Source organism: Homo sapiens, chromosome 1 (assembly GCF_000001405.40).
Source record: "Homo sapiens chromosome 1, GRCh38.p14 Primary Assembly".
NCBI lineage: Eukaryota > Metazoa > Chordata > Mammalia > Primates > Hominidae > Homo > Homo sapiens.
The window spans coordinates 227019997-227042916 of record NC_000001.11 but is presented as its reverse complement, the minus strand read 5'-3'; the positions used below and the strand labels follow the sequence as shown (position 1 = coordinate 227042916).

Sequence of the window (22920 nt, the reverse complement as noted above, 5' to 3'; positions counted from 1 at the left end):
AACACAGAAAAAATCAGAGTAGAAAAGAACTCTTTCTAATCACCACTTTGAAATTTGAGGTTATGGTTAATTCTTTCTACTCCAAATGATCACATAATCTAAAATTCTAATTTTAGTCCATACTTTAATACCTTTCTTACTAGATTTTTTTCTTTTCATTTTTTTCTCTTCTTCCAGCTGTCCACAAAGGGAAGTATTAGATATCAAATATTGACCAGGAGGCAGGAAACAGGGATATTAGAAGCCAAGGAATCTAGACTCTAAGATCGATCATTCCTGTGTCTTTCTTTATACATTTTCACACCAAAACAAAAACAAAATCCTATTGTGTATTACCTAAAGATTGATGGCCTCAGAATAACGATCTTTAATTATGTTATGTTATACTATCCTTAGTGGAGATTAGTGAAATATAAACCCGTTAATCTTTAGTAGTGGATTACACAACCTCTCCTATAATTTAACCAGCACCTACCAGTTGGATGATTTATTACCTAAAATTAATGCTCAGCCAAAACACTGGGTTGTTATATTTTTCCCTGCTGTCATACTCAGAATTGTGACATCCTGAATAGATCTCTTGCTGGAGAGGAAGTGTATGATATATATATATATATATCATATATGTATATGTGCAATTCGGGAGGTATTATGGAGAATTACTAATAAATTTGTCAACCCTAGAGTTGTTTCATTGCTACTGTTTCAGGTATGTCTTGTTACTGTTTAGAAGAAGAAAAACATGAACCTACTTAGAGCAGTTGATTAATTTTTCCTTCTTTGTATTCAAAGCCTCTAGGACTAACCAGTAAAATAACTTCACGTCTTTTGCATTAATGCATTTTGAACAATTGAAAAAGTTAGCACTAGAAAATTTACTCATAATAGTTTCTCAAAGAGCCAAAAATTAAAAAGTAGTATACAGGAGAAAGAGCAAAATTTTATGATTTTAATAGATTCCTTCATATAAGGAAATAATATCTATCTTTCCAAGGTGGTTATTTGCATGAAATAAGATGAATTATGTAAAGTACTGGTACAGTGTCTGTACCCTGACTGGGACTCAGAAGCTATAGGAGCAGTTGCAGAGTTAGTAATAAGATAGACTGTGTTCTACTTAGAGTCAAATCCTAGTGCTGCTTTGAAACTGACCAAAAGATCGTGAGGAACTTCTAGAACACAATGCTTTGAGGTTGGACCAGAGCTCATGACCACTCTAAATTTGAGACTCTCACCCCATTCTCTGACTAATGCTGGTAGTCAGGTTTTTCTATGTAAAAAGATAATCTACTTCTATTTTTTTAATTTCTTTTGTAGTGTACAAATCATATATCCCAGTTGAAAAGAACAAGATTTATTTTTAACTTGAATTTTAAAGCTTCAAATATTCCCTTTAGTTTTTTGTTCATATGTTAGTGTCTACTGAAATAAATGCTACTTGATAACCTTTTAAAATCAGTATTCATAATTTATTAGAATATGGAGTAGAGTTCTTAGTAGTTTAAATCAATCACACATTTACAAGAGAAAAAAATAGCAAAATTCAAATAACATTGGGTACCCATGGACATAAAGATGGCAACAAAAGACTCTGGGGACTACTAGAGAAGGGGAAGGAGGGAGGGGTGCCAGGGCTAAAAAATTGGGTACTGTGCTCAGTACCTGGGTAATATGGATCGGTCATGCCCTAAACTTCAGCATCATATAATATACTCAGGTAACAAACCTGCACGTGTACCCACAAATCTAAAATAAGAGTTGAAATTATTTTTTTTTGAGTACTTAGTATGTACCAGGTACTGTTTGAAAGGCTTTGTTTATATTAATACTCATTTAACCACTCCGTTAGGTAGATACTATTATTTATCCTGTTTTGTAGATAAGGAAAGTGAGACAGAGAGGAATTTAGTAATTTTTTCCTAAGTTCACACAACAGAATGAAAGGTTATTTATTATACATCATTTATTGTTAAAACATGCTAAGAGAATTAATTTGGAAAACAAAGGAATATTCCAAAGAGATAAAATCTACATTTGCTTACCACCATGTAAATCAGGTAAGACTAAGATACCTTTAACTATGGTGTATTCAATAAGAAATTTCAATCTGCCATCTGTCTCTGGAATAATATTTGTGTATTCTTATCTGCTCAAGTGTTATACTGCCTCTTTCCATAGGAGGAAACTGATTCGTGAAGCATATTATTTGTCCTTGGTCCCAGAAAGAGAAATGCATGATTTACAGTAGAAACAATAATTTTAAATAACTCTTTTTCCTAAGAAGGTATAAAGCATATTAAAATCCTATATTTGTATCAGTATAAATATGCAATATTTTACTTAACTATTTGCTGAACAATAATTTGGATAATTTATTAAAATTCTGAAGCTAAGATTTATGAGCCCCCCAAAAAAGCTATTGTTTATTTTATATACTTTTAAAATGGCATTGAAGAGCAATTATCATTTAACTTCTTAATTATTTTAGCTTAGTCCAGTTCAAATTACCTAATAAAAATGTTTAAAGACCATAAACTATAAGAAGATGTAATGAGAAATGGAAATAATTCATTCTATTCCTATTTAGAAAACATTCTAGAAAGTGGTATGGGGCATAAGGACTCACATTATGGAAATCTTTTAAACAATCTGTGTGTTTTTTTATCAATTTGTTTTGCAGCGCAAGACTCACCAGTTTTTTGTAAAATCTTTTACTACTCCTACCAAGTGTCATCAGTGTACCTCCTTGATGGTGGGTTTAATAAGACAGGGCTGTTCATGTGAAGGTAAGAACACAAAGGAAAGAAAATGTGACTTCACTATCTAAATTGTAATCAAATAAGTTGATTCTCTTTCAAAGGTGTATAAATGTTTGTTTTACTTAATCATTTGCTTTTTTGCATAACAGGAATGGAAATAATCTGTGTTGTCTGTTGAATGTTCGAGAAACTAGACATATTTTTCAGGGGCAATATATTTAAATATGGTTCATTTGTCTTTGTTTTGTTATTAAATTTGTAGTCCCTGCCAAAAAACATTAACCTGACAGAAGAAAATTCATTGAATTTTAACCTTGTTTAATTTATTAGAGAAATTGTTATTAAAAAGTAGACAGTGTGGGAACCTTTTCAGAAATATTAAATGTCTGCCACTATGTCTGAAAGATATTTTATTCCTGTATTAATAGCAGAGGTTTTTTTTTTTCCCCTAACATCCATGATTTATTCATCACATGTTTATGGAACACCCACTGTACTTCTAGGCACTGGGGACATAATAGTGGATAGGGGAAAGGCATAGATCCTACCCTCATAGAGCGCACATTCTGAGTGATGAAGGAGAGAGGGTCAGGGGTCATGTGAACAGAAAAGAAAGTATATTTGTTTGGGTATTCCTTTATTTTTCCTAGGACCTCTGAAGTGAAAATGGTTTAAATTATAATGGAACATATATTTTTTTAAATGTTTCAGAAGAATACTTTTTTAAAAAATCAAATGAAATTTGTCATTACAACACTACCTTATATGAGGGGACTTCAAAAAGCTTGTGGAAAAGTAGAATTTAAAAATAAAAATAAACAATATAAACTTTTTTTTTAGCATAAGCTCCATTAAGTTCAAGACAACTTTGTAAGCAATTATACCACCCATTTAGTCCATCCCTGAAGAACAGAGGGTCCTGAGAATGTAACCATGTCAGTCTAGTCTCCTTTACATTATTAACTGAAGAAAGATGGGTGCCCTTAAAGACTTTTTGAAATTCAGAAACAAAAAAGTCAGAAGGAACCAAATCAGGACTGTAAGGTGGATGCCTAATGATTTCCCATGGAAACACTCACAAAATTGCTGTTGTCTGATGAGAGGACTGAGCAGGAGGAGCATTGTCATGGTGAAGAAGGACTCTGGTGAAGCTTTTCCCAGGCGTTTTTCTGCTAAAGCTTTGGCTATATTTCTCAAAACACTCTCATTATAAACAGGTGCTATCATCGTTTGGCTCTCTAGAAAGCCAACAAGCAAAATGCCTCAAGCATCCCAAAAAACTATTGCCATGACCTTTGCTCTTGACTGGTCCACTTTTGCTGTGACTGGACCACTTCCACCTCTTGGTAGCCATTGCTTTGATTGTGCTTTGTCTTCAGGATCATACTGGTAAAGCCATGTTGCATCTCCTGCTGCTGTTCTTCAAAGAAATCCTTCAGGATCTTGATCCCACTTGTTTAAAATTTCCGTTGAACATTCTGTAGCTGATCTGGGTGCAGTGGTTTTGGCACCCAACAAGTAGGAAGTTTGCTCAGCATTCATTTTTGGTCAGAATTGTGTAAGCTGAACCAATTGAGATGTCTGTGGTATTGGCTGTTGTTTGTGCTGTTATTCATCAGTCCTCTTCAGACAGAGCATGAACAAGATTAATTTTTTCCCTGGCAAATTAATGTGGAAGGTTTGCTACTGCAGGTTTCATCTTTGACATCATCTTATCCCTTCTTAAAATGAGTTATCCATTTGTAAACTGCTGATTTCTTTAAGGCATTGTATTTGTCTCTTCTCACATTGCTAATAAAGATATACCCAAGACTGCATAATTTATAAAGGAAAGAGGTTTAATTGACTCAGTTCCACATGACTGGGGAGGCCTCACAATCATGGTGGAAGGTGAAAGAGGAGCAAAGTCACGTCTTACATGTCGGCAGGCAAGAGAGCATGTGCAGGGGAACTCCCCTTTATAAAACCATCAGATTTCACGAGACTTAATCACTATCACCAGAGCAGCACAGAGAGACCTGCCCCCATGATTCAATTACCTCCCACTGTGTCCCTCCCATGACACATGGGAATTATGGGAGCTACAATTCAAGATGAGATTTGGGTAGGAACACAGCCAAACCATATCAGGCATTGTCCCCATAAACTTTTTGTAAAGCATCAATGATTTCACCCAAGCTTCATTGTAAATTTTATATTTGTTCTTACTTAATTTTAGCAGAATTCATGTTGTTCTGATAGGGGCTCTTTTCAAATTGATGTCTCATTCTTCTTAGTGCCTCAAACTAGATCCTTTTCAGACATATTATAACAAGTTAGTATGCATTTATTTTGGTGCAAAAGAAAATTTTAAATCCATGCATAGTTTTTCCATAATATGCATTTTCCATGAACATTCTGAAGATCTCTCATATTGATGTATCTTATGAAAAAGACAAGAAAATAGTTGCTAACTCAAATTCTAATACTAGTTGCCATTTCCTGTCTCTTCTGCTGTTAGAATGGGAAGGGACCTTAAAGGAAATGTAGCCCATCCCCATCAGATGCATGTGTTTCCTTTATAATAGACTTGTAGTTAGCCTGTATCTGAGTACTTTGAGTAAGAGGGAAATTAATAACATCTTAAGGCAGTGCATTCTGTTTGGTTAGTTCTCACAGCTAAAGTGAAAGATCCAGATTGCAGTATTTTAACTAATCCATTAGATATGTGTGTTTAAAGCCAAATAAAATGTTCAGGGTTAAGAAAGCAGAGATTTAAGAGCTAGGAGTGTATTAAGTTATAAACATGAATGACATCCAGGAAGTACATGTAGATTGAGAAGAGAGCAAGTACATGAGTCTCTTACATAGTTAAGGGAAGGCAACAGGAAAAGATAGCCAAGTTAACCTGAGAAGGAATCGCCTGTATTGTTGACTAGGAAGGTGTGACTGAAGGCAAAGAAGGAGAAAATTTGTAGTTTTCAAGCTTTGTTTCATTTTGGAACTTAGCCAGTAATGGTATGTCATTTTAAAATTTGTTTATCAGAAAGAATCCTGGCCAGCTACCTGGCTTTAAGTCCCATGTCATTTTTTATGCACCACAATTACTTGCAATTCATAGTAGGAATTTTTGAGGTCTTCTCAGACTCTCTTCCCTTCTAGAGTCTTTTGCTGTGAAATTGTGCCTATCTTTTCTTCAGACCCTTTGAAGCCTACTTTATGAAGCTATGGGGACTCATGAGACTGTTCCTAGCCTTTGTCTGCCAGGCTTTTGTAAATGTTGTAATAATGTGGTTCCAGCTTCTAAAGATTCCTGTCATGTTCCTTTCCTTGTGGTTGGTTGGAATTAGATCCAGTATAGGATACTTATTTTGTTGCTTCCACTGCCCTTTGCTTGTAAGTAAAACAAATCATAACTTGCTAGATACTCCACTTAAAACTGAATTGAAGGCCGGGCGCGGTGGCTCAACGCCTGTAATCTCAGCACTTTGGGAGGCCCAGGCGGGCGGATCACGAGGTCAGGAGATCGAGACCATCCTGGCTAACACGGTGAAACCCCGTCTCTACTAAAAATACAGAAAATTAGCCGGGCAAGGTGGCGGGCGCCTGTAGTCCCAGCTGCTTGGGAGGCTGAGGCAGGAGAATGGCGTGAACCCCGGGGGGCGGAGCCTGCAGTGAGCCGAGATTGCACCACCGCACTCCAGCCTGGGCGACAGAGCGAGACTCCGTCTCAAAAAAAAAAAAAAAAAAAAAAAAAGTGAATTGAAGTTGTGTGTGATGACTCATGCCTATAGTCCCAACTACTCAGGAGGCTAAGACAGGAGGATCATTTTGAGGCCAGCCTGGGCAACATAGCAAGACCTTCTCTTTAATAAATAAATAAAGTGCATTGAGATGTTTGGATGATTTTTGTCATCTTGCCTCTCTGCTGGTTTCACAGTATCCATCAGTGATATGTAGTCCATTTATAGAGATGGTAACTGTACCTCTCTTAGATTGTTATAGAAAAATAAAAAGCACTCCATAAAGTTAACTATTGTTATTTTAGTAGTAGTTTAAGTATATGTAATAATAACTCCTAAAATTTACCTTTAACTTGTACTTTTTTAGTCATTGAAAAACTCCATTTTCAAGGATTGGTAGAGTTTGCCAAACCGAAGATGTCAGGTAGCTTAATGCCCACTAGTGACCCTTGCAACAGAAATTTCAAGGCAGATACCAAGTTGCAGTGGGATGAAGAGCAAAAAACTCTAGAAACCACTCTTTTAGAAAATCTAAATCAATCATTTTATTCACAAGGTTAGATGCTTCGTCTGTTGCTTCTTTTTTTGATCACTAATGTCAATACAGAACAGCAGTAATACAAGTAATTTTTTAAATATTTACTATGTCTCATTAAAATTGTCATTGGTAAGCAAATGAATCAGCTACCCAAATGATAAAACAGTTATTTAAAATAAAATTGGAGATAAGCATTCATCTAACATAGCATCTTGTATGCAGTGAGTGTTACGAATTTTCTTTTTGTTAAAATGAATTTTTATCAAACGTTTCTTTTTTCCCTCTAAAAGTGTGTGGATTCTCATGCCATATAACTTGTGTAAACAAAGCTCCAACCACTTGTCCAGTTCCTCCTGAACAGACAAAAGGTCCCCTGGGTATAGATCCTCAGAAAGGAATAGGAACAGCATATGAAGGTCATGTCAGGGTAAGTATGATTAAGTTGGGTTTAGATTAATCCTTTAAGATTTATTAATGAATTAAAATCAAATCCAGTTAGTTTAAGAGGATAGTTCTTGATGGAAAATTAAATGAATAAAATTCATCTAATAATTTTATTTCATCTAGAATAATGATTTGCAAACAAAAACCTAGCTTTTACATGGAAATAAGTTATAAAATGTCTCAAGTTTTTCCATATTGTTCCTATCTTGTGATGAAATCTTCATAAAGGAGTTTGTGGCCCCTGCTCTTGCAAGAGAGGTGGCATATGGTTATGAATTATGAGCTATTAAGGCATAGTCTTGTTATCTTGGGTAGTATTTACAATGTAAGCTGAACTTCATCTTACACCAAGTTTGACTTTTATGCTATTTAGAAAGAAACCCATGAGTGTTATTTTAATGAAATATGAGTGAAAGTTAAAATGGTACCATTAAAATGTTTCTCAGAATAAAAAGTCATTCTGTATTTGAAGAATGTGTTCTCACATTTTCTCATAGCTTAATGATATGTGTCTCATCTGCTACTTTACCAACCAGAATGGCAGACTTATAAAACGTGTACATTATCTGTAGGTCTTCACCATGCAATTACATATGTAATTTAAGGGATATTTTCATTTGAGTTGTTTTGGCTGTTTGTCTGTCTAAAACAAAACTAAGATTCCTAAGCCAGCTGGAGTGAAGAAAGGGTGGCAGAGAGCACTGGCTATAGTGTGTGACTTCAAACTCTTTCTGTACGATATTGCTGAAGGAAAAGCATCTCAGCCCAGTGTTGTCATTAGTCAAGTGATTGACATGAGGTAAGAGTTTGAAGGTAAAATTATTTGTATCATTGCAACATAGGAATTTTAAAGTTTCTGATTTTCAAAAATTGTGTTGCCATGGTTTATTTAAATGAACTAATTTCGTATTTTCTAATTTGCTAATATTGCTATAGAAACAGAATTGAAAATAGGAAGTAAGGTGTATTTATAGGACAGGTTGGTATGTGTGTTGAGTGTGAGGGGCTAGGAGTTAAGGAAAAAGAAGTTGGTGTCCCAAAGACCTGTGTAAATGGGGTAATGGAGGCCTACCATGTGAAGTTTATATTATCACATCACCTAAAGGCTTAGAGTATAATTTCAATGTGAGGAAAGAAAATAAAAATCAGAAAGGCTTCTGGAAAACATAATCAGTAAACATTTAAGTAAGTACAGCCCTTGAACACTTCTGGTCTCATTTTTCAGATTCTTCCTGTGTTCCTTAGTTCTCTCTCCTTTACCTTTTCTCCTAACTCCAGGCACTATCCTTGAGTGATCATATTTACTCACAGCTTCAGCCATCTCCTCTGCATTGATGACTCCCAGACTTGTATCTCCAGTTCAGATATATCCATCCATTGCTCAAAACCGGAATTTCTAGCTGTGACTCAAATTGGCACTTCACATTGGCATCTCAAACGCATTATCTTCCCCTACAAATATGGAACATGACAGGATAGATGCAAGAAATATTGGCAAGAAAAATCTGATAGAACCTACTAAGGGACTGAATATAGATAGGGAAAAGAATCACAAATAGGACTAAGGTGTCAAGCCTGTAAGACTAAGGGAGTCATGGTACCAACAACAAAATTAAGGGAATCACAAGAAATTATTGTGGAGGAAATACGTTGTAGATGTTGAAGGAACAATAAAATATAACATGAGCTGGGTTGAGGGTACTTAAGATTTATTATGGGAGGCAAGAGGGTCCACTGGAGGCTCCAGAGACCTACCAGGGTTCAAATCCCAGTTCTACGTGTATACTTAACTGGCCTTGTGACTGTGGGTAAGCCAGCAATGATTTCTAGCTCTTGTATAATGTGCCACTAGGAAGTTATTCTTGATAAATTATTTGGGGCACTATTAATTACAATGGGGGAAAATTAATTTTTTTAAAAAATTAAATTTGGGTGTTTGGTGCAGTTAAGCTTTGGGTATGTGTTATTTGGATACACACCCCAAACCACACACACATAGCCACATATAGTAACTTTTAATGCTTTGCTTTTCGTTCAGGGATGAAGAATTTTCTGTGAGTTCAGTCTTGGCTTCTGATGTTATCCATGCAAGTCGGAAAGATATACCCTGTATATTTAGGGTAAGTGTGTATGCTGTAATTTGATCACTGAATTATGTGTTTTTAATGAGTATATTTTGCCTCCCTATATAAATCATAAATTCACTATAAGTAAAACCAAATCTTATATTCTTTTATATATTCCATATCATCCAGTACTTGAAGGTATAGAAAATTGGTGCTAAGTATTTAATTAGTGAAAGACCTGGAGAAAGCATCAATATATGGCTTATAAAATATGCTTCCTGGTAGATAATATTTTTTAGTTCCAATTCAATTTTTAAATAAATACTACCACATGGAAAATTAGATAAGTGTGAGGTTTCTCAAGTTTTTAAAAAAATAAAAATGTCTGTCTTGAAAAATTAATGCGTTTGTTACTTACTGCTTTGTAACAGCCATTCCAAAACTTAGTAGCTTAAACCAACAGTGATTTACTATTTTTCACTATTCTGTGGACCAGCTGTACAGTTCTTGTGGTGTCCGCTAGTGTCACTGATGTGACTGCATTCAGCTCATTTGGGACCAGAACATCTAATGACCTTGCTCTTACATCTGGGTGCTGGCTGTTAGCTGGGTGATCTCAGTTCTCCTCTTTGTGAACTCCCTCCATGTGGTCTCTGGTCGTCAGGTAGGCTGGCTGAGCTCCCAGTGGCTGGCTTCTAAGAGAGCAAAATAAGCTGCCAGGCCCTTTGAGGACTAGGCCCAAAACAGGTATAATAACCCTTCTGCATTCTGTTGGTCAAAGCAAGTCATGAGGTCAGCCCAGATTTAAGGGGAGGGGAAATAGACTCCACCTCTTGATGAGAAGAATGGAATTCCTTAGGAGGACTTGTTGGTAGGCGTCTTTGGAGGCCCTTGCCACGATGCAATCTTGAGTGGGTAAATTAAGACAATAGAGGTTAAAAAAAAAAACTACTGCCCAATTGTTATGCCTATCTCCCTATATTTGTCTATGAATCTTGTATCTAAGGAAGGTCAGGCAAAGATTATACTTAGTCTCTTAGTTCCCAGACTGACAACTATTTATTTTCCTCCCAGCCACCAAGGGAGCCTACAGAGGCCCACTTATCTATAACTGATTTTCATAGTGTGAGTTTATTGTCACTGCTACTTAATAAGGAATTCTTTACTTATGATAAGGAATTCATATAGGTAAAATTTAAAACTGCTCTGATAGTGTTGTTTGTATAATGATAAACCTTCATTTAAATATTAATTTAAATGGTCAAATCTTAATGATAATGCGAGTTATTGTTGTGAAGTAACAGAGAATATATTTCTGAGCACTTCTGACCTTAAAACAAGTCACAAGTCAGTATGGTGTGGCGCTTAAGAGCATGGGCACAAGATCCCAGACTTGTAGTTGTATGTCCTTGGAGAAATGATTTAATTTCTTTGCATCACCATTTTTTTCATATATAAAATAAGGATATAATGACAGTACATCCTAAATCATGACGATGTTAACAGAGTTAAATGAGTTAATACTTGTAAAGTGCTTAGATCTACCTGGTGCTCAGTATTTACTCAATAAATGTCAGTTGTTGTTGTTGTTGTTATATATTTAATGCCTCTTTAGTGATAGTGTTCTGGCACTTTTACAGAAGGAAAATGAAAATGATACTAACATTTCAAATGGTGTCTGCCACCTTTGCTTTGTCATGTATTCTAGTGCTAAAGGTAGTTATTCTGATTAGGAATAGCTGAACTCCAGTAATGGTATCATTTAATGAATGCTTATTTTATTGGTGAGTGCTAAGCAAACTAACATAATCATGAAACTAGCATAAAGGGTGTCTGTTTTCTAATATCATGAATATTGATTAAATTGTTCTAGGTCACAGCTTCCCAGCTCTCAGCATCTAATAACAAATGTTCAATCCTGATGCTAGCAGACACTGAGAATGAGAAGAATAAGTGGGTGGGAGTGCTGAGTGAATTGCACAAGATTTTGAAGAAAAACAAATTCAGAGACCGCTCAGTCTATGTTCCCAAAGAGGCTTATGACAGCACTCTACCCCTCATTAAAACAACCCAGGCAGCCGCAATCATAGGTATGAATTTATAACATTTATCATATTATTATCATTGTTTACTAATCTACCTTGAGAACAGGGATTGGCTTTCATCTAGGAATCCCCAGTGTCCAACATACTGTGCATCATATCATAAATGCTCAGTACATGTTTACTGAATGAATGAGACCTATATCAGATCTTTGTTTTTCAGTAAACAGGAGTATAAATACACTTTCAAAGTGCCTTTTTTTTCCTGAAAAAACAACAGTGCTAAGCATTAGCCTACTAATCTATTTTCTGCTTGTGTGATTTAGAACAAGTTAGTTTCTTAGAGTTTAATATATAAAATACAGATGGTAATTACCTTGCTGAGGTTATTGGGAAGTTTAAATAAGATGGAATACATAACACAGAGTGCCCTGCATAAGAAAGAAATCCCCTTAACAAATGGCAGTTTCTGTGTCTGGAGGTTTAAATTTTTGCTGTATTCCTGTGTATGCATCTAACTCTTTTGTTACTTTCCATAAATACTGAAAAGTTCAATGAGTATGGTTCAAATGCCATTCACAATTTTTACCTCCCAAAACAATAAGTGTAGAACAACTTAGGTTTTTCATTTTGTTTCATCATTTATTAAACATTTACTTCTTTTTGTAAGTATTGATATGGATTATTCTTTAATAATTGTTCTATTTTAGAAGACATGAGAGATTTACCAGTATAATCTGAAAGGAAATAGTGTAAACTGTTATTGTAATTCATTTTATTTCCATTTTTTGCACCAAATGTTCTTATCATCTGGTTTATTAGCATTACATGGTTTTTTTCCTAATAAAAATCTTTCACATTCATGTCTTACATAGATCATGAAAGAATTGCTTTGGGAAACGAAGAAGGGTTATTTGTTGTACATGTCACCAAAGATGGTAAGAGAAAACTTTTTTTTTTTGGAGTAATTTTAAATCGTGTTAAAAAAATTTAAACTGTAGATTCTAAATTCTACAAAGAGCAGGATTTGCTCTTATTTATCCTGCGACTAAAATTTTCCAGACCTAATTTGACGTTTATAAATTAAAAGATTATTTTTAAATTTCTATAATCCCCCTGAGGTTTAAAACTTCAAATATGTATTGTCTTTCTTGTATCATTTTATTTAACAGTTCTGTACGAACTCAGATTGCATTTCTTTTTTTTTTTTTGGAGACAGAGTTTCACTCTTGCTGCCCAGGCTGGAGTGCAGTGGCACGAACTCGGCTCATTGCAGCCTCCGCCTCCTGGGTTCAAGAGATTCTCCTGCCTCAGCCTCCCAGTAGCTGGGATTACAGGCATGCACCACCACGCCCGGCTAATTTTGTATTTTTAGTAGAGATGAGGTTTCTCCATGTTGGCCAGGTTGGTCTCGAACTCCCAACCTCAGGTGATCCACCCGCCTTGGCCTCCCAAAGTGCTGAGATTATAAGCATGAGCCACTGCGCCCAGCCCAGATTGCATTTCTAAAGATGGAACATGAAAAAAAATATATACAACTTGATTTTCACATTGTTCTATTAGTACCAGAAGAGGCAACAGCTATTAAAATGTGTTTGTTTGGAGGTTTTTCTTCTAGGGAAAAACTAAATGCTGGGTGAAATAAAGAGAAACCAATATAACTTGGTATTCATAAATACAGTATTCTAAGTTTTATCTTTATGTCAACTTAGATCATGGGAAAACAATGCATTGTTAGCCATATAAAAACTTCTGAAAAATAAGTTCTCTGTTTTTAAAAATGGGAATCCTATGGTGACGTTCCCTAGAATTTAGTGCCAGTAGAAAAGTTTCCTTGAAGATTTGGCATACTTTTACACAAGAATCCTTTGGGGTTTGCCTTGGCTGCCAGAAATCTCAGGACTCAAATTTAATACGTACTATAGGTGAGTTAAATTATCTTATGATGGGTTGGATAATCTTTTTTTCCTGTGACTTCTGATGTCTTATTCTTCCGTATGTGCATCTGTAAGTTGACTTACATCCTTTTGAGTATAATTGGGATATGATTAATCAATAAAACTATATTTTGATTTATTATTCTTTCTGTGTTTAGAAATTATTAGAGTTGGTGACAATAAGAAGATTCATCAGATTGAACTCATTCCAAATGATCAGCTTGTTGCTGTGATCTCAGGACGAAATCGTCATGTACGACTTTTTCCTATGTCAGCATTGGATGGGCGAGAGACCGATTTTTACAAGCTGTCAGAAACTAAAGGGTGTCAAACCGTAACTTCTGGAAAGGTGCGCCATGGAGCTCTCACATGCCTGTGTGTGGCTATGAAAAGGCAGGTCCTCTGTTATGAACTATTTCAGAGCAAGACCCGTCACAGAAAATTTAAAGAAATTCAAGTCCCATATAATGTCCAGTGGATGGCAATCTTCAGTGAACAACTCTGTGTGGGATTCCAGTCAGGATTTCTAAGATACCCCTTGAATGGAGAAGGAAATCCATACAGTATGCTCCATTCAAATGACCATACACTATCATTTATTGCACATCAACCAATGGATGCTATCTGCGCAGTTGAGATCTCCAGTAAAGAATATCTGCTGTGTTTTAACAGCATTGGGATATACACTGACTGCCAGGGCCGAAGATCTAGACAACAGGAATTGATGTGGCCAGCAAATCCTTCCTCTTGTTGTAAGATTCTCTTTCTTACGGCTGTCTTATCTTTATATCTCTTCTTCCTTTTCCCTTCTACTTCGTCTCCCAAATGTTGTCATTGTTGATAACAGTTTTTTAAAAAAGTCATTCTTAATGCTTTTCCTCAGTATTGATTATGTTGTTGATGTAAAAACCATATGTAGTTAGGCCTGGGCAAACAGGGCCAGCATTAGCATGCACGTAATTTAAACAAAACATCTTTCTGTGGAATATTTCACTAAGATGGATTTTTTACCCCACATCATATTTTGAAATAACCCAGAATTGTTATCTCATGGTCCCCCAAAATATGGTGCTTGTAAGCATCAGTGTTTCACAGAACTTATTCTGGAGAAGTAGTTACTAAGTGAGTTATTTAATCAGGTATGTAAAGGTATAATGTAACATCTATAAGAGGTGTTTTTTCAGTTTTCCACTTTTATCTAGATGGGTAGATATTTATAATTGCTTATTTTACCCCTTCAAGAAATATTAAGACATAATAAATTATTGAATACTTTTTTTTTTTTTTGAGAGATGGAGTCTTGCTCTGTCACCCAGGATAGAGTACAGTGGTATCGTCACAGCCCACTGCAGCCTCCAACTCTTACACTGAAGCAGTCCTCCTACTTCAGCCTCCCGAGTAGCTGGGACAGCAGGTGCACACCACCACACCCAGCTTATGTTTTTATTTTTTGTTTTTGTAGAGATGGTCTCATTAGTTGTTCAGGCTGGTCTCAAATTCTTGTCCTCAAGCAATCCTCCCAACTTGGCTTCCCAAAGCACTGAGATTATAGGCTTGACTCACCACACCCAGACTCATTGAATACTTTTAATTATAGAATACTTTGGTTATTGAAAATAATCCAATTATTATTGAATATGTGCCATTGAATATGAGTTAACAGCAATGAGTAAAATAGATACAGTCTTAACCCCACAGAGCATGGGGTGCAGTGGAAAAGATTCGTGATAAAGCAAGTAGTTGCAGTAGAGTGTAAGTGCTATGATAGCAGAAGTAGAGAGTTCTGTAGAAGCACATAGAAGTATTTCATCCAAACTGTTTTGTTTTTAATGAAAAATACTTGAGCATGTTAAAATGCTGAAGGGAAAAAAAACCCTAGGGAACTACATGGAAAAGTTGTCTATATGGGAAATAGAGTAAGACCGCCAAGAAGGCCAGAGAGGACAAAATTCAGAAGACAGGTGCAAGAATTACTTGGGGGCAGGAGGAGTAAAACCTCTTCATTTGTAACAAGGTAGGAGGAGGAGTGATGGGTATGGGTCTAGTCAAGTTTAAAGGTTCAGTGCGAGAAAGTTTGGGAGGGCAACCCATGCTCATTACAGAAAAATCAGAAAGTCTGCGTGAACAGGACAAAAGAAAAATACCTCTAGTTCTACCCATCCAGACTTTTTTTTCCCCCACCCTCCATCCTGGGATGAACGACTTAACTATTTTTTGTTGTTATTGTTGTTGTTTTTTGTCTTTCCAGCTTTTCAACTGCAGATCTTGGGAATTAACTATTTTTAATATTTTGTTTCTTCTGAAAAATATGGTCTTAGGTGGGCACAGTGGCTTACACCTGTAATCCCAGCACTTCAGGAGGCTGAGGCAGGAGGATCGCTTGAGGCCAGAAGTTCGAGGCCAACTTGGGCAACATAGCGAGAACCTGTCTCTATAAAAAATTTTCTTTAATTAGCCAGGTGTAGTGGTTGCATGCCTGTTGTCCCAACTACCCAAGAGGCTGAGGTAGGAGGATCACTTGAGCTATGATCATGCCATTGCACTCCAGCCTAGGCAATACAGTGAGACCTTATCTCTAAAAACACAAACCCACACACACTCTCATACTCATCAGTGGAATAAATGCTGTCTTGTAACTGAATCAGATAATAATTATGATTATTCTAATGTAGAGTCAGAGTTGGAATGTCTGACTTTTTTGTGTAGCTCTTTCAATAATTCCCTTTGTAACCTTAGTTTAAGTAAACCATTGAATCTTTCTTTGCTTGTGTCACCATTTGTTGATATTCATTCTTTCAACAAGTGTATATTGAGCATCTACCCTATTCATGTAACTGTGCTACAGTGCTTTATTATACATTCTTAACAGGGACTAGAACACTTACCTGAAGATTTCTCTGCTTTCTAAGTTTGATTCACTGTCAATAACTTAACTACTTTTAGGAATCAAATAGTTCAAATATAATGAAATTCCTTTATAGAACTCATGTTGGGCAAAGAAATAGTATACCCCTGGTGTTTACAGAATCCGTCTATATTATAACGGCTATATAATCTGAATCATGGTATACCAGTTCCTCATTTACGATATATGTTCTGTTTGCTTCAAAAATGTTTTGATTTGGCTACTATATGATAGCCCCATAGGATTTGGGTGGGATTCCACTCTACAGTTATTTAGTGTAGACCTTTCAAAATATTTGGGGTTTAATAGTTAAAAGTAATCCGCAAGCTGCCCCCCCTTCCCTTCTCCCAGGTTACAATGCACCATATCTCTCGGTGTACAGTGAAAATGCAGTTGATATCTTTGATGTGAACTCCATGGAATGGATTCAGACTCTTCCTCTCAAAAAGGTAATTTAACATTAAAATGTGGGCTAAGCCAACTGAGTATAAGTGAAAACACTAAATTACTACATAGTAATTTTTTTTTTATTAATTCAACATTTTCTGGAATGTGTAATTGGCAGTTTGGGACTTAGCTAAGAGTGAGAAAATAGAAACAGAAATAAAGTTGGTTAATTTCCTTATGCCTCACTAAAACCATACTAATTTTACTATATTTGGTTTATGCAAAGTATGATTGTTATTATTATGAACAACTAGAATATATCCTACAACTTAAAATGTCAGTGTTATCTTCTACTTTTGGATTAAGGAGCTCTGAGAGAGTACATGATTATTATGAATTATAACTGTCATTCACCCAGTGTTTAATCCTGTGAGGACAGATTTAAAAGGCTAGAAAAGTAATTAAACTTAGAACCAAAACTGTTTAAGTGTCCATAATTGAAAAATAAATATTTCATATATTCCTAATAAAACATAATATTTTTCTTAATATATAATCCTGTTTCCATAACAAAGAGAATTTTTACAATTATAGAACTGCTAGTTTGCAAAAATGAAGAGCAATAGTTTCATATAGATAGATGTGATATATATATAGCATGTATGATTAGTTGGGGGACAGGGTTTAGAGAATATGTGAAAGTAGCTTAGATCATATTTCAAAATTAGCACCCATTTAAAATCATAATAGCAGTTTAAAAAGCTCTTGTAAATACTGCCAGATTATCTAAAGCAACTAAAATATACTCTAGTTTGTAAATTTGGATTGGTCATTATTACTTTTCTGTGGATTTTTTTGTTTTGTTTTTGTTTTTGAGACAGGGTCTCGCTCTGTCATCCAACCTGGAGTGCAGTGACATGATATCAGCTCACTGCAGCCTCCATCTCCTGGGTTCAAGCAATTCTCCCACCTCTGCCTCCAGAGTAGCTGGGACTACAGGTGTACACCACCATGCCCTGCTAATTTTTGTGTTTTTAGTAGAGACAGGGTTTCACCATGTTGGCCAGGCTGGCCTCGAACTTCTTACCTCAAGTGATCTGCCCGCCTCGGCCTCCCACGGTGCTGGAATTACAGGCATGATCCACTGCACTCAGCCCTATTTGATTTTTATCATGTAATTTTTGCAATGTATGTGAAAGAATAGATATATGGCCTTTGTGAAAGATAATAATAAACTGATCACTCATGAACCTACCTCCTAACCTGAGAATCAGAACATCACTCATATAACTGCAAACTGCGTCATGTTGTGCTTATCATTCCTTTGCTTTTCTTAAAATACAGAATTTTTGCATATTTAAGTATCCCTAAATAATATATCTTTCAGTTTTGCTTGGTTTTGAGCTTTATGAAAATGTTATAATATATAGTCATTTTCTATCTTGCTTTCTTTACTCATCCACTGAGTCTCATTCGTTCATGTTGTTATATATACCATATAGTTTATTGCTTTCAGTACTATAAAATATTCTGTTGGGTGAACTTAGCACTACTGTCTGTTCCCTGACTGGGGGACATTGAATTATTTACTAGCTTTTTGCAATTGTGATGTTGCTGCATCTGTTTTTTGGAATAGTTTTCAGGAGTTTGAGTCATATACCTAGGAGCAGAATTGATGGGACATAGGGAGTTCAGTCAGCTTTATGAGATAGTGTCATATTATTTTCCAAAGTAATTGTACCAACCAATACTCCCATCAACAGCATAAAGGAATTCTTATCAACATCCTAGTACTTTCCATTGTCAGGATTCATAGGTTTTGTAAATGGTTACAAAGTAGTATTTCATTGAAGTTTCAGTTTGCATGTTGCTAATTAACTGTGTAGTTGAAAGTCTTTTGTGTGTTTATTCATCATTCATATTTCCTCTTCCATAAAATGCCTGGTCATGCTTTTTGCTCATTTTGCTATTGGATTGGCCATATTTTTCTTATTTATTGAAATTCTTTATACATTGTGGATACTGGCTAATAATGGATATGTAAATCTTTTTCTTCTTTGTGACCTATTCATTCATTTGTATTTGGCTGAACAGAAGTTACTAATTTTAATGTAGTTAAATGTATCTTTCTTTTCCTTTATGTTTGTCTTTTTTCTCTTGTTTAAGAAACTCTTTCCTACCTTAAGGTCATAAGATACATTCTATTCTCCTCCAAACATTTTACCTTTTTTAAAAAATCTTTTTTAAATGTATATACCCAGCCTCCAAACATTGTAAAGCTTAGCCTATTACGTTTATGTTTTTAATCCAACTGGAATTCATGCTTGGTTCCGTATAACCAGTTGCTCAATCACTATTTATTGACAGTCCCTCCTTTCCCCAGTGATCTACCCTTCCATCTCCATCATATGTATGCATTTAGTTTTTGATAGTAAGAATTCATAAATCAGCTGTGTTGATATCTGCTTAGTATAACTGTTGGGTCATTAATGGCTTTAAAAAGTCTAAGGTTTAAATGTATTTCTACTTATTTGTTCATTTGCTTAGGATAGCCTTCCTTTAAAATATTATCATTGCAAGTTTGTTTGTTCAAATTAGATAGTATTATACCTTTCCAGTCAGAATTATTGTTGATTTTTCTGAGAGGGCTGCATTTTGAAGTAGATAAATGAGAAGTCTTAATAAGGTGTGCTTTATAAGCAGGACAAAAGTTTTATAATTTAATTTTTAAAGGTTTTGTTGAAATACTAATTTTGTCTTTTATTTTAGGTTCGACCCTTAAACAATGAAGGATCATTAAATCTTTTAGGGTTGGAGACCATTAGATTAATATATTTCAAAAATAAGATGGCAGGTAAGAAAATACATATATTCATAGGGATAGCTTCATTGGAAATATTATTTCTAAGCTAACTGCCCAAGGTCACATTAATAATAAGTGCCAGAGTCCAGATTTCAACACAGGTGTATCTTACTCCAAGTCTATGATGTTGGCCACTATCACATTCTTAATATATTAGAATAAATTACTGGGCAAAAAGTCGTTCTGTTTAAGCTCACTTAAGTATTTGATTCTGATGTACCTTGTTATTTTTCTGTGGAGTACCTGAGTAAGTAGAGAAAGTGTAGCTGATTATGTCTTCTGTATTTTCAATATTGTAGAACCTAACCAAAATTTGTAACATTAAAATTATAAACACTCATCTAGAGTTGAGGAATATGTCTTCAGGAACATATCTTCTGCCAGTGTACAGGGCCTAGCACTTCGAAAGTGGTGATGTCAGCATAGGAAGAAGCAGGAAAGAGAGGAGAGTCATGGGAGTGCCTGGAATCAGGAGAGGGAGTAGAGACCCAGAGTGTTACAGACAGGAGGGGAGGATATTTGGTCAGTGACCAAAATATTGAGGTCACACATGTCATTACATACCACACATAAAATGCCAGGGAGACTGTTCACATAGAATTAAATGTTGTTTGCCTGTCAGGGTGTCCAAACAGTTAAAGTCTCACTTTTAACGAACATTATTATAGTGCCCTCTTCTATATAATAAAGTCATTTTTGTGTCATAGCAGCAAATTTCTATATAATAGAAGTATTTGTAAATTTCTGATCTGTTATGGCAAGTCTGTTAGCGAGGATGTATTTACAGTACATTATGTATTTTAAATAATTTTTTTTTTTTGAGACGGGAGTCTCACTCTGTTGCCCAGGCTATAGTGCAGTGGCACAATCTTGGCTCACTGCATCCTCCTTCTCCTGGGTTCAAGTGATCCTTGCACCTCAGCTTGCTGAGTAGCTAGGATTATAGGTATGCACCACCACACCCAGCTAATTTTTTGTATTTTTAGTAGAGATGGAGTTTCACCATGTTGGCCAGGCTGGTCTTGAACTCCTGACCTCAAATGATCCACCTGCCTCAGCCTCCCAAAGTACTGGGATTATAGGCCTGAGCCATCACGCCTGGCCAGTATTTAAAATAATTTTAAGTAGACAAATATAAGTAAAAATACTGGCTTCAAGAAAACACATTAAAATGTTTAGACCCATTATTTTGGGGTAGTTAATTTTTATTTTTATTTTATTTTTTTTTTGCGGGGGAGACGGAGTCTCGCTCTGTTGCGAGGCTGGAGTGCAGTGGCACCATCTCAGCTCACTGCAACCTCTGCCTCCTGGGTTCAAGCGATTCTCCTGCCTCAGCCTCCTGAGTAGCTGGGATTACAGGCACGCACCACCATGCCCAGCTAATTTTTTTGTATTTTTAGTAGAGACGGGGTTTCACCATGTTGGCCAGGATGATCTCCATCTCCTGACCTCGTGTCCCACCCACCTTGGCCTCTCAAAGTGCTGGGATTACAGGCGTGAGCCACCGCGCCTGGCCATGAAATTATTATCTTAATGGTTTTCTCCCACCTACCCCATATTCCTCTAATAAATTTGTGTTTTCTACTATCAAAAAAAAAATCCATCAGAAGTTTTTCTGTGATTATTTTTGTTGGTTTTGTTTTATTTTGTTGGTGTGTTTTTGTGTTATTAAGTACTGGAATACACAAAATTGCTTGATTTCTGGTTCAGTGCATTGGTACATTGTCTTGGAACCAGAGGTTTCTTGGTGAACAGGCTGGTGAATATAGCAGAAGTCTATGGTAAGACTCCATTATGACTTAAGAAAGTATATTCAGGTTTTAGAAGTGATTCTCATTTAGAGATGGATACCCCGTGAAGTTAATGAAATGTAAGCTTTAGATGCTTCACTTCCAAGACCCATACTTAGTTTTATACAGGCATACCCCCATTTTATTGTGTGCCACTTTATCGTGCTCCACAGATACTACATTGTTTACAAGTCGCAGGTTTATGGTAACCCTGCCTCTAGTAAGTCTCAGTGCCATTTTCCCAACAGCGCGTGTTGACTTCATGTCTCTGTTTCACATTTTGGTAATTCTTGCAATATTTCAAACTTTTTCACTGTTATTCTGTCTGTTACGGTGATCTGTGATCAGTGATCCAAATTTGAGGTTATTGTAATTGTTTTGGGGTGCCACAAACCATGCCCATATAAGATGCCAAACTTAATTGATAAATGTGTGTGTTCTGACTGTTCCACCAAGCAGCTGTTCCCTGGTCTCCCTCCCTCTCATTGGGCCTCTCTATTCTCTGAGAACCAACAATAGTGAAATAGCCCAATTAATAGCCCTGCAATAGACTCTTAAGTGTTCAACTGAAGAGTCGCACATCTCTTACTTTAAATCAAAAGCTAGAAATGATTAAACTTAATGAGGAAGGCATATTGAAAGTCGAGATAGGCTGCAAGCTAGGCCTCTTGCAACAGTTAGCCAAGTCATGAGTGCAAAGGAAAAGTTCTTGAAAGAAATAAAGTGCTGTTACAGAGAACACATGAATGATAAGAAAGTGAAACAACCTTATTGCTGTTACAAAGAAAGTTTTAGTGATCTGGAGAGACTGTCAGCCGCAACATTCCCTTAAGCCAAAGCCTAATCCAGAGCAAAGCTTTCTCTTCAATTCTGTAAAAGCTGAGAGCTATCAGGAACCTGCAGAAGAAAAGAAGCTAGCAGAGTTTGGCTTATGAGATTTAAGGAAGGAAGCCATCTCCATAACATAAAAATGCAAGGTGAAACAGCAAGTATTGATGTACAAGCTCAGCAATTTATCCAGAAGACATAGCCAAGATAATTGATGAAGGTGGCTACACTGAACAATACGAAATTCAGTTTAGCTAAAACAGACTTCTGTAGGAAGAAGATGTCATCTAGGACTTTCATAGCTAGAGAGAAGTCAATGTCTGGCTTCAAAGGACAGGCTGACTCTTGTTAGGAATTAATGCAGCTTGTGGCTTTACGTTGAAGCCAGTACTCATTTACCATTTGAAAAAATCCTAGGCCCTTAAGAGTTACAGTAACTCGGTTGGGCATGGTGGCTCACACCTGTAATCCCAGCACTTTGGGAGGCTGAGGCAGGCAGATCACCTGAGGTCAGGAGTTCGAGACCAGCCTGGCCAACATGGAGAAACTCTGTCTCTATTAAAAATACAAAATTAGCCAGCTGTGGTGGCACATGCCTGTAATCCCAGCTACTTGGGAGGCTGAGGCAGGAGAATCGCT

At 36.1% G+C, this 22920-nt stretch overlaps 1 protein-coding gene across 25 annotated transcripts in view; it reads left to right on the top strand.

Annotated features, from left to right (window-relative positions):
- The window catches only part of CDC42BPA (CDC42 binding protein kinase alpha), a 328635-nt gene that overhangs the window by 275576 nt on the left and 30139 nt on the right, over positions 1-22920 (top strand). For all 25 annotated transcript variants that reach the window (NM_001366011.1, XM_017002580.3, NM_014826.5 and 22 more), the window contains 9 exons: positions 2681-2786; positions 7310-7446; positions 8123-8262; positions 9502-9583; positions 11403-11619; positions 12447-12509; positions 13667-14260; positions 16765-16862; positions 19570-19654. In NM_001366011.1, the coding sequence (NP_001352940.1) occupies positions 2681-2786; positions 7310-7446; positions 8123-8262; positions 9502-9583; positions 11403-11619; positions 12447-12509; positions 13667-14260; positions 16765-16862; positions 19570-19654 (1522 nt within the window). The remainder of the gene's footprint in view (positions 1-2680; positions 2787-7309; positions 7447-8122; positions 8263-9501; positions 9584-11402; positions 11620-12446; positions 12510-13666; positions 14261-16764; positions 16863-19569; positions 19655-22920) is intronic.